The 15,850-nt window shown below is 35.1% G+C and overlaps 1 protein-coding gene across 1 annotated transcript, besides 1 other annotated feature; it reads left to right on the forward strand.

Moving 5' to 3' along the window:
* The first annotated feature begins 3,244 nt into the window (after positions 1–3,244).
* OR5K4 (olfactory receptor family 5 subfamily K member 4) lies at positions 3,245–4,210 on the forward strand. Its single transcript, NM_001005517.1, has one exon. The coding sequence runs from the start codon at positions 3,245–3,247 to the stop codon at positions 4,208–4,210; it is 966 nt and encodes a 321-aa protein (NP_001005517.1).
* Positions 9,765–9,824: an enhancer, noted in NCBI's record as "active region_20135". NCBI's record gives its function as "activates an Ori minimal core promoter by ATAC-STARR-seq in GM12878 lymphoblastoid cells {active_cell/tissue: GM12878}" and the evidence as "EXISTENCE:reporter gene assay evidence [ECO:0000049][PMID:35858748]".

Genomic DNA, 15,850 nt, shown 5'->3' on the forward strand with positions numbered 1-15,850 from the left:
GATTTGGATAGAAGAATAAATCAAAGAGGGCATTTCATGTGAAGAGTAGATTCTGAGTAAATATTCTGAGGTCAAGGTTAAACTCTAACACATCAAGGAATAGATAAGTTATAGGCGTGTCTCTGGAGATGGATTCTTAAAGGTGAATGGTAGAAAATAGCCTTAAGTGATATAAGCCCTCTGTATGGAGCCCTTGGAGTACCAAGATAAAGGACAAAACTTGGTTTGAAGACTAATGAGAAGCCAAAAATATTTCTAATGCATAAGAGCATATCTACACACTAGAGAAAAGATGGGGATAGGAGACCAATTAACAAGTAAGTTATCTTATGATGATGGCATTGATTATGGTAATAGTTTTGTGGGTGTATACTTATGTCCCAATTTATCAAGTTGTATACATTATATGTGTATAGCTTTTTGCACATAAATCATACCTCAATTAAGTTTTTTAAAGTTACCTTATGACAAATAAGTGAAACTGAAGAACATAATGTCAGACTTACTTCAGAGGATGAATGTACAAGATTTGACCAGATTAATTTGGGGAGCAAAAGAAAGGAATACAACCCTGGGTGATCCTGCCACATTTTTGCCTCTTGTCCACAAATACAAATCTCTCTTCAAATCTCTGTTTAACTTCCACCTCAACTGATCAATGTAAATCTTTTTCTCTCCATCATAGTTTTCAGGTAATCAAGGGGTGTGTGTGTGTGTGTGTGTGTGTGTGTGTGTGTGTGTCTGTGTGTAAGAGAAAGAGAGAGTTTCCAAGTATGTGAAAAATCAAGATGAACCTTAAGCTGTTTTTAGTGATAGCAATTTTGATTTAACTTCCGAATCTCAAAATGCATCCATCTTTATATGCTGTTTGATTTACTGGTGCTGGGGGAACCATGCTCATCAGATTAGAGTCTCTGCAGAAACACTCTGATGCCAATGCCGAGGAAGTCCCTTTAGAATAGAAAACTTTAACTTTGCCTGAGACTTGCATAACTATTGTCACTAACCTATTGGTAGGGAGTGTCCTAGATTTTTATAATTTATTCCCTAATGATTTAAAAACCAATGTTTTTATTCTTAATTTCCCTACAAAGAAAAAACATCAGGAGACCAGTCAGCTACTATAAAATGTTTCTCAGTGAACTCAAAATATGAGGACTTAATTTTATTTACTAATTTATTTATATTATAGTATCAAAATGCAGAATATAAATTTTCTAATATACTTCAGTATTTTTATTGTTTTTAAATTTTAGCCACTTAATAATTCTCTTTGTCTCTAAAGTGAAGCCATTATAGAAAGCCATAAGGAGACATAGTAAGTGGATAAGTCTGACCTATTCTTTGTTCAAAAGTACCATAATTTTATCAGCAAATACACAGATAAGGCTGATGATGTCCTTGTACAGTAATTCTGCGATCTATAGGCAAATTAATTTTTGATTAAGTTCAAAAATTATATTTTACATTGGTGAAGAGAAAATGAGATTTTACTCATTATATTCTGAAATATGATCTATATAAAATAATTATTGATAATAAAATCCATTTTTCCACAGTCCACCTGATAAATATTTTCAGTTGATTTTCCATTAGATGTTACTAAAATAATGATAAAGAGCAGCATTTTATACTTTTACAAAGTTTTTTTAAAAATATAATTCTGAAAGATTTTTTAAAAGAGGTATAGACCTAAAATATAAAGGACATTTTATTGTATTCATTTGATTACAAGCCTCTAGTGATAAAACTCCAGAAAACCTCATCATATTATGTGAGTCAATAGAAAAACAAAAGTAAGAAACAGAGAAAACCTAACCAAAATGTTTTCAAAGTAATTCACTGGCCGGGCGAGGTGACTCATGCCTGTAATCCCAGCATTTTGGGAGGCCGAGGCGGGCGGATCGCCTGAGGTCAGGAGTTCGAGACCAGCCTGACCAACATGGTGAAACCCCGTCTCTACTAAAAATACAAAATTAGCCAGGCATGGTGGCTCATGCCTGTAATCCCAGCTACTCGGGAGGCTGAGGCAGGAGAAGTGCTTGAAACTCTGTCTCAAAAAAAAAAAAAATGTGCTTTGAATTAACTATCGTAGGCTCTTCTCCAAAATTGTCTGTTTGGAGTATGCTAAGGCTAAAGACTTTTAGAAACTTCTAAAAGAAAAGAAAGTTAATTTTATTATTCTTTAAAACTCAAATTGTTTCTGTACCTGAAATATTTTAATGTACAGTTGCCAAACTATAAGAACTATATAATAAATTTAGTTGATCATTAAACTCAAATAAATATATAGCCAGTAAAGAGTAGATAATGAGTTTGTAAATTTAAATAAATTTAAAACTCAAGTAAATAAATGGAGAACCTCCATAGAACTCACTGAAAATGAAGACATTACTTTCTATGAGAGATGTTTGAGTGAATACAAAATAGATATTTACCATGAAGAATATTCACATTATGAGTGGAGATTTTGCCACCAAATCTTACAATGTTGGACATGCATGTAAAACTCTTAAAACTAGAGACAGAAAGTATTAGGATAAGTGAGCAATTAAGAGTAATAACTCCTTGGGAAATTTGTCATACCAAGATTGGAATAGTATCTAGAATATGTTGAAATGAACATAAAAATGATATCCAATACAATGATTAAGAACACTCATAGATGTTTCATATTCTTATCCTCTCTAAAAGGATGAGTAGATATCTCATAAAATATGCAATTGGTGACCTTATCTGGAAAGGGTTACTAAGCTAGCAAAAGCATTCTTCAAATCACTGTGTTTCTGTGCAGTTTTTAAAATGTAGACATTTAAAATGCCTTAAGAGTAATTCATTTTAAGCGTCACATTGATCCAATAGGATACGATTTAAAACTTGTTTACTTTTTCCTGGAGGAAAAGATACCATAAGAAAATGTCTTAATTTTGGAAATGGAAAATTATATGTACTGACCACAGATTTTACATCGGCATAGGATAATTCATGCAGATAAAGCTTTCCTGCCCTAGGAATTCACACAGATATTTTCAGACAAGCCCTGGGTACACAATCCATGATACATTTTTTCTCACTTGATTTGACCCACAGTGAGTGTGCTAGTGTTTAGGAGATGGCACAGGATAATTTGAAGAAGACTTTCTTCCCTTTTGTATACAGGGAAATTAGAGGGTGAGAATTAGAAACATTCTGCTTTGGAATCTTACATTTCTTTACAATTTATGTCTCAGAAGAGAAGCCAGGAATGGCTAGGGAAAATCACTCCTTAGCAGCTGAATTCATCCTCATAGGATTTACAAATTATCCAGAGCTGAAGACGCTTCTGTTTGTGGTGTTCTCTGCCATCTATCTGGTCACCATGGTGGGGAATCTTGGTCTGGTGGCATTAATTTATGTAGAGCGTCGTCTTCTCACACCAATGTACATCTTTCTGGGCAACCTGGCTCTGATGGATTCCTGCTGTTCCTGTGCTGTTACCCCCAAGATGTTAGAGAATTTCTTTTCTGAGGATAGAATTATTTCCCTGTATGAATGTATGGCACAATTTTATTTTCTCTGTCTTGCTGAAACCACAGACTGCTTTCTTCTGGCGACAATGGCCTATGACCGCTATGTGGCCATATGCCACCCACTGCAGTACCACACCATGATGTCCAAGACGCTCTGCATTCGGATGACCACAGGGGCCTTCAAAGCTGGAAACCTGCATTCCATGATTCATGTAGGGCTTTTATTAAGGTTAACTTTCTGCAGGTCTAATAAAATTCACCACTTTTTCTGTGATATTCTTCCACTGTATAGACTCTCCTGTACAGATCCTTCTATTAATGAACTAATGATATATATCTTTTCAATACCAATTCAAATCTTTACCATTGCTACTGTCTTGATCTCTTATCTCTGCATCCTTTTGACTGTTTTCAAAATGAAATCCAAGGAGGGAAGAGGTAAAGCATTTTCTACCTGTGCATCCCACTTTCTCTCTGTCTCAATATTTTACATTTGTCTTCTCATGTATATTGGACCATCTGAAGAAGGAGATAAAGATACACCAGTGGCAATATTTTATGCAATAGTAATCCCATTACTAAACCCTTTTATTTATAGTCTGAGAAATAAGGAGGTCATAAATGTTCTTAAAAAAATTATGAGGAATTATAACATTCTTAAACAAACTTGCTCTATAGCAAATTTATTTTTAATTTATTAAAATGCTTTCATAAAGAGGGAACATAGAAAAATTAATATGTGATTTTACACAAAATGTAAGCTTATAAATCATTAGGCTATGTTTGTTTAAAAAATATATCAATGGAATTTCAAAATTGTTTCACAAATCTTTATCCAAATCCCACAACCAGAATGAATCGGGGAAACTCACTGGTAACTGTTATTACTACCTTTCATGACTCTCATGGAATTGTCAGAGAGTATTATCCTAAACCTCAATTAATCAACATAGCATGAAAGTTAAATGTTTAAATGTGTAGAAGAGTCTTCTTTGATTAATGTTTCCTAGTTAATGGAAGACATTATATCCAATCCTATGTAGCGTGTTTGAAACATTTAAAATTTCCTGGCAGAAAAGTGAAATGATAGTTTTCTTTCAGAAAACTGACCTGAGAGACACATGTGGATTACTTTAGAGTGGAAAAGACTAGAAGCAAACTAATTGCAGTAATTTATATTTAAGGTAATGAAGTTTTATTTAGATAAGATTGCAAGAATGAAAAAAAATGAAAAGGAACACACACACACATACACAGACATATACAGACACAGACACACACATACACACATGCAAAGAGGCTCACCTACAAAATATTCTATTTTGCAGAATAATTAATTGTGACTTATAACAAATTGGACAGAGTAGATTAAGGTCTACTTTAGCCAGAAGCATAATTAAGTTCCTTTTCATTCTTGAAGGCATCAACCATGTTATTGGCTATGTATTATATATAACTACAGTTTACATATTAACACTCATTAAACATTTTAAAACATATTAATAATGACATTGTTTTATTTTTGAGTAATGGTAAGCTGTACCAATATTTTATGTGTTTATTGACCATTTTTACTTTTATGAATTGTCATTTTTGTTTTGTCTGTTTTATTTCTTATTTATATCATTGTTTACAGAGAAAAGACATCACAACTATTTGTGGCAAATAATTCTTCTGTGGGTTGATAGTCTTAGTATTTGTTTCTGATATTTATAAATATTTTAATTTAATATACTCATATTTACTTATTTTTTCTATGATCTCTTTCATGCATTTCATCCAGAATTTCTTTTTTAATCCAGTCTACTATTAACCAATATTTCTTTTTCTCCTTTTCTTATTTCTCTTCTTCTCCTTCTCCCTATTTTCCTCCTCCTTCCTTTTTTGATATTTTAAATTTTTGCAACTTGACTCTTGATTCTTCCTGGAATTTATTTAGTATATGGCATATTAAAGATATAACTTTATTTGGCTGTTTCTCTAAAAAATATTTATAAACTAATTTAATTCAAATAAACACTCAGGAGAACTTCTTTGGGAACCTGGCAAAATGAATTTAAAATTTTTTCATATTCTAGATTTTTCTAGAAAATAAAAAAAATACCTTATGTGTTATATATTAAAATATATGATAAAATTCCAATAATGATAACAGTTTGGTTTTAAATCAAGAATCAATAAACAAACCAACAGAACAAATCAGATTGTTCAAAAGTAAACTCTCATATAAAATAAGAAGGGCATCACAAATAACAAGGAAATAAAGGATTGTTCAGTAGCCGTGGGACAACTGGGTAACTATCTCTTCCATTCATGTTAAAATGTATATCTTCCTGTCATTTAGATATATATTTGTAGACAAAATTTGTATTTCCTTCATTTTTCATAGTTTGATTTTTAATATACAGCAACCAACTGGAATTTATTTTATAATGTTATAAAGTGAGAATTAAAATTTGATTTATGGCTAACCAGTAGTCCCAGAAGCATTTATTGACAAACTCTTCTCTAACTGATTTCTTATGTCTCCTTTTTGTACATTTATGCTCATACATTCACATGTACATGCATACACAGAGAGGTCTATTTCTAGCCCGTTTGTACAACAAAAACAAGACGGTTCTAGTTCGTACACTTCTGTCTCAGGAGGGAAGATGGACATTTTAAAAGGCAATCAAACTAAAAAGCTATAAGTTATAATTGAGGAAGACTCTTATGCTTCTACCTAAAGTCTATTGTTAGGGTTCTATAACATTTATATATAAAATATCTATTCACTCTATTCTTTCTTTCTATGTGACCTCATCTATTTTTTTTTTTTTGGCCTTTAATTTCATCAATATGAAGATGGCTCAGAATGTATATTTCCACCTCTGATATCCTCCCTGCTCTCCAGTCTCACATGTGCAACTGCCTACTTCACATAATTACTTAAATGTTGCAAAGACATCTCAAATTCAACATGATCAAAGCACAAGTCTTGAATTTCCCACTAAACATGGTCCTCCCCTGGTCTTCTCCATTATGATGGTCACATCCTCCAACCAGCTGGGCAAGGCAGAAATTAAGAGAACCCCACACAACTCTGTCTCCTATCACAACCAAACTTTCATGATATCTGTCAACTTAGTCTCTGAAGTCTATCTTAAATGTGCCAAATCTCTCCACTTACACCACATGTACATAATTTCATCTCTCACCTGAACAATATCATTAGCTTCAAACTCGTCTCTGTGCTTTTGCTCCTTTTTATTTTTTAATGTATATTTACAATACGATTTAAAAATAGTACTAAAAGGTGAATTCCAAAAACTACAGTCTCTTGCCTACCATGACTTAGGTATTTCATCCACAACAACCTTCTAATTTTTTAAACGATTTCTCTGAAAATTTATCCTTATATTTCTCAGTATCAGTTTTAATCATATTAATCAATTTCCCATTACAGTAAATGAATATTAAGTTATTTATTAAACACCTCCCCTTCCCTTCATTCTTGATGATATAACATAATTTTTTTTTTTTGAGATGGAATGTCACTCTGTTGGCCAGGCTGGAGTGCAATGGCATGATATCGGCTCATTGCAACCTCTGCCTCCCAGGTTCAAGCAATTATCCTGCCTCAGTCTCCCAAGTACCCAGGACTGCAGGCACATACCACTGTGCCCAGCTAATTTTTTATATTTGTTTCTAGAGACGGGGGTTTCACCATGTTGACCAGGCTGGTCTTGAACTCCTGACCTCGTGATCTGCCTGCCTCAGCCTCCCAAAGTGCTGGGATTACAGGCATGAGCCACTGTGCCCGGCCCAACAAAATTTTTTATAATTCAATAACGACTTTTTATGAGGGACATGCAAATACAAGAACTAGTTTACCATGCTTATATTTCTTTTTCTTTACACCTGTAAATTTTTTTAAAGTTAATAAAAACTTCATATTCCTATTTGCTCATTCACATCCATTATGTATCCATCAAATTAATCAACCATATTAAATAATCATGAGTTCTTTTTTTACCCTGGAGACTTCTTTTCTGGTGGCCTCCACCCTCCTGCTCCAGTCTGGACAATTTGCTCTCTAGACCCAATATTCAGCCGTCCTGCTGAGACTTTTATTTTTGATTTCCTGTTTTAAGTAACTCAGTATTCAAGCTCTCCATCTTTCTCTTAATTGTTCATTCCCTCTTTTTGCTGACTGCTCTTTGGCAATTTTTTTCCACATGATTAATAATTTGATTTCTTTAAAATTCTAGGTTATAAATAATTTTTCTTCTGAACGCTGAAGTTATGCTTCCTTTATACTCTAGCATGATCTGCTGCTTTGGAGAAATTGCACGTTATTCTGATTCCCATTCTATTGTTTACCTGGAAACATTTAGAATATTTTCTTTATCTCTGACTTTGTGAAGTATCGGAATGAAAAAATTTAGCAATGTTGTCATCACTTTTTCTAGATAGTAGTGGAGTCTTGTTTCACTCGTTCTTCCCGCTTAGCTGTCTTTTCTTTTCCTTTCCTTTGCCTTGTCTTTTCTCCCTCTTTTCTTTCCTCCCTGCTTCCCTCCCTTTTTTTCTCTCTAAAAATTCAAAGTTTTACTTCCTTAATTAAGGCAATCCTGAATGTACAAGACAGATAAAATTTACATAGAAAGAGGAGAATAAATAAATTACCAGTTTTCAGAATCATAAATGTTTTCTTAATGACTGTGAAAACATTAACAATTTAAAAGTTGCCGTTATGAACTCAGCTTTTGTTTTCTGGAAAAGTCTTCATTTCTCCCTCATGTTTGAAGGATATTTTTACTGGACACACTATTCCAGGGTAAAACTTTTTTTCCTTCAGCACTTCAAATATGTCATTCTACTCTCTCCTGGTCCTAAGGTTTCCTCTGGAAAGTCTGTTGCCACACCTATTGTATCTCCTTTGTATGTTATTTGTTTCTTTTTGCTTGCTGCTTTTAAGAATCTTTTTTTTAATCCTTGACCTTTGGGAATTTGATTATTCAGTGCTTTGAGGTAGTCTTCTTTGGTTTAAATCTGCTTAGTGTTCTATAACCTTCTTGTAATTAGATATTGATATATTTCCCTAGGTTTGAGATGTTCTCTGTTATCCTTTTGAATAAACTATCTACCCCATCTCTTTCTGTATTCCTTTTTAAGTCAATAACTCTTAGATTTGCCCTTTTGAAGTTGTTTTCCAGATCCTGTTGTTGTACTTCATTATTTTTATTAATTTTTTTTACTTTTCTCTCCTGACTGTACATTTTTAAATGGCCTGTCTTCAAGCTCACTAATTCTTTCTTCTGCTTGATCAATTCTGCTATTAAAGGACTCTAATGCATTTTTTAGTATGCCAATTGCATTTTTCAGCTTCAGAATTTCTGCTTTTTAAAAACTGTTTGAATCTGTTTGTTAAATTTTTCTGATAGAATTCTGAATTCCCTCTCTGCATTATCTTGAATTTCTTTGCATTTCCTCAACACAGCTACTTTGAATTCTCTGTCTGAAAGGTCACATATCTCTGTTTCTCCAGGATTGGTTCCTGGTGCCTTATTTTGTTCATTTGGTGGGGTCATGATTTTCCAGATGGTGTTTATGCTACTAGATGTTTGTCAGTGTCTGGGCATTGAAGAATTAGGTATATTGTAGTCTTTGCAAGTCTGGGCTTGTTGGTACTAGTACTCCTTGAAAAGGCTTTACAGATATCTACGAGGACATGGATGTTTTGATATAAGTTTTATCTGCTTTGGAGGACACCCGAAGCCCACTAATGCTGTGGTTCTTGCAGACTTGTAGAGTTATCACCTTGATTGTCTTGGACAATATCCAGAAGAGTTCTCTGAATTACCAGACAGAGACTCTTGTTCTCTTCCCTTGCTTTCCTCAAACAGATGGAGTCTCTCTCCCTCTCAGTTCTGAATTTGAAGTTGGGGATAGGGTGACACAAGAACCCCTGTGGCCACCACCACTAGGACTGTGCTGAGTCAGACCTAAAGCCAGCACAGCCCTGAGTCTCACCCAAGGCCTGATGTAACAACCCCCTGGCTACCACTTTTGTTTGCTCAAGGTCCTGGGGCTCTACAATCAACAGATGGCAGCACAAGCCAGGCCTGTGTCTTTCCCTTCTGGGTGATGAGTTCCCCTAGGCTCTTAGAGAGTTTTAGAGGTGCTGGCCCTGGGAGGGTTGAGAGGTGCTGTTCAAAAGGCAGGGACTGGAGTCAACAACTTTAGAAGTCTACCTGGTATTCTATTGTTCTGATGCTAAACTGAAACTCAAATCACAAGATACAGTTCTTCTCACTCTTCTCTCCCCTTTTTAAAGGCAGAGGAGCCTCACTCTGTGGCTACCACCACCATAGGCCCATGGGGAATACTGCCAGACTACTGTTGATATTCTCTTAAGGCCCAAGGGCTTTGAAGTCACCTTGTGGTAAATGCTGCTTGGCCTGGGACTCACCCTTCTGGTCAGTGGGTTCCTCTCTGGCCCAGGGCAGGTCCAGAAATGCCATTCAAGAACCACGTTCTAGAATCAGGGACTCCAAGAGCCCACTTCATGCTTTACCCACCTGTGGCCAAGCTGGCACTTAAGCTGCAAGACAAATCCCCTTACTTTTCTCTCAGCTTTCCTCAAGCGGAAAAAAATCTTGCCCCATAGCTGCCACAGCTGGAAATGTGTTGAGTCTCACCTGAAGTCTGCAAGTCTCACAGTCTCACCCAAGGCCTTTGATGTGTACCTGTGTATCGCTGCTGGCATTTAGGGCCCAAATGCGCTTCAGCTTGTTGATGATGAATGCTGCCCAGGCTGGCAGCATTCCTTTAAAATCCTTCCTTTAAAGGTAGTGGATTCCCTTTTGGCCCAGGATGTGTCTAGGAATGTCATCCAGGAACCAGGCCCTGGAAAAAGGGCCTCACATCTCTGACCAGTACACTAACTTATGTGGCTGGGTTGGTATTTAAGATGTAAGACAAAGTCCCCCTTACTCTTCCCTCTCCTCTCCTCAAGTGGAAGAAAGGAATCTCTTTTAGAGCCATGAGCTGTGCAGCCTGGGGTTACTGGAAGGGTGATGATGCCAGCACTCCCTTATCCATCCTGACTGGTGTCTGAGTAGGTTGTGTGACCCCCGCATTCCACTGCCTCTGAGCCAAGTTCAGCACTAGGACTTGCCTCCAAGTTTCAGTGCCTGTGGCCTAGACATCCTTTCAAATTTATTAGGTCCCCATAGCACTTTAGCCTGTGGTGGCAAGGCTTGTGAGAACTCAAGGTCTGACCACTGGGATCCACGACTCTCCTCTGGCTAGTGCTCGTTTAAATGCTCTCTCTGAGGGCAGGCATCAGCTGAGTTGGTCTGGTTTTGCTTTCTGTTATAACAGGTCATCACTGAGTTCAATGCCTCACAATAGTTTCACTCTTCTTCTCCCCAAGACACAACAATGTTCTCTGTACCAAGCCACTGCCTTGAGAGGAGTGTGTGTGGAGGAGGGGTGGCATTGGCACTTGAAGAGTGTTTTTTCTATCTCATCAGTGCCTCTTTCAGTGGCATGAAGTTAAAACCAGGTACTGTGTGTACTCACCTGATTTTTTGTTCTAATGAAGGTGCTTTTTTGTTAGATAGTTGTTAAATTTGTGTCCTTGGGAAAGGATGATGATCAAGGAAGCCTCTTATTCCACCATCTTGCTTCTAAGTACTTAATTTGAGGTTACAAATGGATTCAGAGTTCAATTACTTACCCTAGGAAATAGTTGTCACATTGCAAGTAGTTATAATTTTCAACAAATACTAGAATGGAAGTCAGCATATATAAGTTACTTCCATTCAAAATTTGTGAAAAATTTCTGGAATCCTGAGCATAACCTTGCAAAATCAGTCATATTCTAAGTTTGAAACTATTAATCCCTTTTAAATCAACACTATCTGTGAGAAGTAAATCGCATGTTTGAATATTATTCTCAACTTCCTTTGAATTCATTCAAAAGATTATATTGAATATGGATTCACATGGGATTTTTATGTTCTAATGAAGAAAATTTTTATATTTACTGATGGAAATTTTAATTTTAAATTTAAATGTTTTAATTAAAATTTTAAAAACTTTCTCTCAAGTTCTCAGAAATAGAGTATCTGTATGATGGTGATTTTTCTATCTCTGGTTGAAAATAAGTCTATTTTTACTGAAATGCCTATGGATTTAAATTTTTCATGTAGTTTGCTTAATTGCTCATCATATATGACAGCGCCATTTCTGACTGTATTGATTAAATCAAGTTGCTTTTCACCCTAGTATTATTTCTTGTCTTATTTGTTAGAAATTCCACCAATCTGCAGTGATTTCAATGAATGTTGTTGATGTGTTCATAGCATTCACAGAAAGTGATGCTCATCATGCATAAGTGAGGCAGAAAGTAGTGAAAATTCCTAATAGCTAAACAAAGCTATTAGGTGAAGGGGTGGCCTGCCCCTCCACACCTGTGGGTATTTCTAGTCAGGTGGGACGAGAGACTGAGAAAAGAAATAAGACACAGAGACAAAGTATAGAGAAACAACAGTGGGACCAGGAGGACCGGCACTCAGCATACCAAGGACCTGCACCGACACCGGCCTCTGAGTCCCCTCAGTTTTTATTGATTATTATTCTCATTATTTCAGCAAAAAGGAATGTAGTAGGACAGCAGGGTGATAATAAGGAGAAGATCAGCAAAAAACATGTGAGCAAAAGAACCTATGTCATAATTAAGTTCAAGGGAAGGTACTATGCCTGGATGTGCACGTAGGCCAGATTTATGTTTCTCTCCACCCAAACATCTCAGCGGAGTAAAGAATAACAAGGCAGCATTGCTGCAAACATGTCTCGCCTCCCACCATAGGGTGGTTTTTCTCCTATCTCAGAATTGAACAAATGTACAACCGGATTTTATACCGAGACATTCAGTTCCGAGGGGCAGGCAGGAGATGGTGGCCTTCCTCTATCTCAACTGCAAGAGGCTTTCCTCTTTTACTAATCCACCTCAGCGCAGACACTTTACGGGTATTGGGCTGGGGGACGGTCAGGTCTTTCTCATCCCACGAGGCCATATTTCAGACTATCACATGGGGAGAAATCTTGGACAATACCCTGCTTTCAAGGGCAGAGGTCCCTGCGACTTTCCGCAGTGCATTGTACCCCTGGTTTATTGAGACTAGAGAATGGTGATGACCTTTACCAAGTATACTGCTTATAAACATTTTGTTAACAAGGCACAGTCCTAGATCCCTTAAACCTTGATTTCATATAACACATGTTTTTGTGAGCTCCAGGTTGGGTCAAAGTGGCTGGGGCAAAGCTACAAATTAACAACATCTCAGCAAAGCAATTGTTTAAAGTACAGGTCTTTTTCAAAATGGAGTCTCTTATGTCTTTCCTTTCTATATAGACACAGTAACAGTCTGATCTCCCTTTCTTTCCCTACGAAAATTCCTAATAGCTAAACAAAAATATCTTTTCATCACTTAAAAGTAAAAACATGAAAGAAAACTAATTTATACACCTATCCACCTATCTGCTATGCACTACTAGACTTTTTATATATATAAACTACCGATTAGGCCTTAATTCTTACACATTTCCTCAGTAGAAATCTCGTATCTTGAAATCCTGAATGTCTTGCCCAAATTCATTCAGCTCATCTGGATAGAGATAGACTTTGAATCAATATTGCCTTTTCTTTACATCCTTTGGAGTTTAGAAAAAGGATAACTTTTGTTTCATTAATCTTTTCTGTTATTTTATTATCAAATTCATTTATTTTGCTCCAATCTTATTTCTTTTCTTCTAATAATTTTTGGTTTCATTTTCTGTTGCTTTTCTAGATCTTTAAGATGCATCATTAAGTTGTTTATGGGAAACTTTCTACTTTTTTGATACAGCCACGTATTGCTATAAACTTTCCTCTTACACCACTTTTGCTATATCCCATGGGTTTTGATACATTGTTTCTATTTTTATTTATTTTGAGAAATTTCTAAATTTTCCTTTTAATTTCTTCATTCATTTAATGTTGTTTAGGACCACATTGTTTAATTTTCATTTGTTCGTAGAGTTTCCGAAGTTCCTCTTGTTATTGATTTTTTGTCTTATTCCATTGTGGTCAGAATATATACTTAATATAACTTCTTTAAAAAAACTGAGACTTGTTTTTTGGCCTAACATGTGGTCTAAGCTTGAGAATATTCCATGTGCTGAGGAGAAGAACATGTATTCTACAAGCTGTTAGATAAAATATTCTGTAAATGTCTATTAGGTCCATTTGATCTATAGTGCAGTTAAATCTGATATTTCTTTGCTAATTTTATGTTTAGATGGTGTGTCCAATTCTGGGATAGGATGTTGAGGTACCAGGTATTATTATATCTGTCTTTAGCTTGAGTAATATCTTCTTTATTTCTTCTAATGCTCCAGCATTGGGTGCATATATATTTGCAATTTTTATATCTTCTTGTTGAATTAACCCTTTTCTCATTAAATAATAGCCTTCTTTGTCTCTATTTATAGTTTTTATCTTCAAATGTATTTTATCTGTATTTTCTGATAGAAATATAGCTACTCCTGCTTTATTAGGTTCTTATTTCATAAAATGTCTTTTTCCATTTCTTAAATTTTAGTCTATGTGTGTCTTTATAGGTGCAGTGAATTTCTTGTAGGCAGCATATGGTTGGGCCTTGGGTTTTATTTATTTATTTATTCAGTCACATCTTTTTCGGGAAGAATTTAGACTATTTATACTCAATTTTATTGATAGTAAGAATTACACTGTTGTTTTATTATTTGTTTTTTAGTTGTTTTGTTGGTTCTCTCACTTTTATTTATTTATTCCTATTTTTCTTTGTGTAAAAGTGATTTTTCTTGGGTGATATGTTTACATTTCTTGCTTTTATTTTTTTCATATCTTTTATAGGTATTTTTGGATGTTACCAGGAGGCTTGCAAATAACATTCTATAATCAATTATTTCCAACTCATGACAACTTAACTGTGATTACAAAGAAACAAACAAAAAACAAAAAGAAAAGTAAAAAACTCTAGTCTTCAAGTCCATTTCCCCTGCCTTTTGACTTTTTGTTATCTCTATTTATATCTTTTTATCTAGTCTATCTCTTTAAAAGTTGTTGTAGCTATTTTTTTTATTAATTTGTCTTTTAGTCTTCCCACTAAAGGTATACATGGTTTTACACATTGCAATTACAGTGTTAGAGAATTCTGTATTTCTCTGTGTTACTGTTACTGGTGAGTTTTATACCTTCAGATGATTTATTGTTGCTTGTTAAGGTACTTTCTGTTTAGATTGAAGAACTCCTTTTAAAATTTCTTATAAGACAGGTCTGGTATTGATAAAATATTTTAGCTTTTGTTTGTCTAGGAAAGGGTTTGTTTCTCCTTCATGTTTGAATGATAATTTAATGAATATAATATTCTAAGTTGGAATTTTTCTTTCATCACTTTGAACCTTTCATCCCACTCCTTTCTAGTCTGTAAGGTTTCCTATGAGAAGCTTGATGCCAGATGTATCAAAACTCTTCTATATTTTATTTGCTTCTTTTCTCTTGCTGTTTTTAGGGTCTTTTCTTTATCCTTGATCTTCGAGAATTTGATTGTCATCTGCCTTAAGGTAGTCTTATTTGGGTTGAATCTTTTGAGGTTCCTTAACCTTCTTGTACCTAGATATTCATGTCTTTCTCTAAGTTTGAAAAGTTCTCGCTGTTATTTTTTAAATAAACTTTCTACCCCATCTCTCTCTCTGCATCACCTTTAAGGCCAATAACTCTTAGATTTACCCTTTTGTGGCTATGTTCTTAATCTTATAGGCATGCTTAAGGAAAAATAATTTTATTTAAGAAAAAGTATTATATGGTCAGTTTTGCTTTGCTTAGGAAAACAAAAACTGAGATAATTTTTTTAAATTAAGGTTATTACATCCATGTATTTTCCTGTATGTTCTTTTAAGTCATTGTAACATTGGGTTACAGGGTTTTAACTCCTGGGTCTAAAAAGGACACAGAGTCCTGCTAAATCTTAAACACTGACAGCAATTAAAGCCTCATCTTCAGGCCCCATAGAAGATGCCAATCAAAATAAACTACATTCCTGAGACACAGGACAAAGAATAAGCTATTCAATTCCTCAAAGCCCAGGCCAAGGACTATTGCAGAACAAGTGGGAGCATAAGATTGTAAGGGCAAATTTTGAAAGATAAAATAAGTTCCATTCCTCTATAAATTAATCATTAGTATAGAAGGCACAGTGATGCAAAACCAGTATATAGACTCCCATGTCAGATCAATAAGGTTTTCTTGAAACATTAACCAACTCCTT

The sequence above is a fragment of the Homo sapiens genome, chromosome 3 (assembly GCF_000001405.40).
Source record: "Homo sapiens chromosome 3, GRCh38.p14 Primary Assembly".
In the NCBI taxonomy this organism is placed as follows: domain Eukaryota; kingdom Metazoa; phylum Chordata; class Mammalia; order Primates; family Hominidae; genus Homo; species Homo sapiens.

Bases quoted from the DNA above. Each gene is read 5' to 3' on its own strand.
- OR5K4 (NM_001005517.1), top strand. From the start codon at position 3,245: ATGGCTAGGGAAAATCACTCCTTAGCAGCTGAATTCATCCTCATAGGA.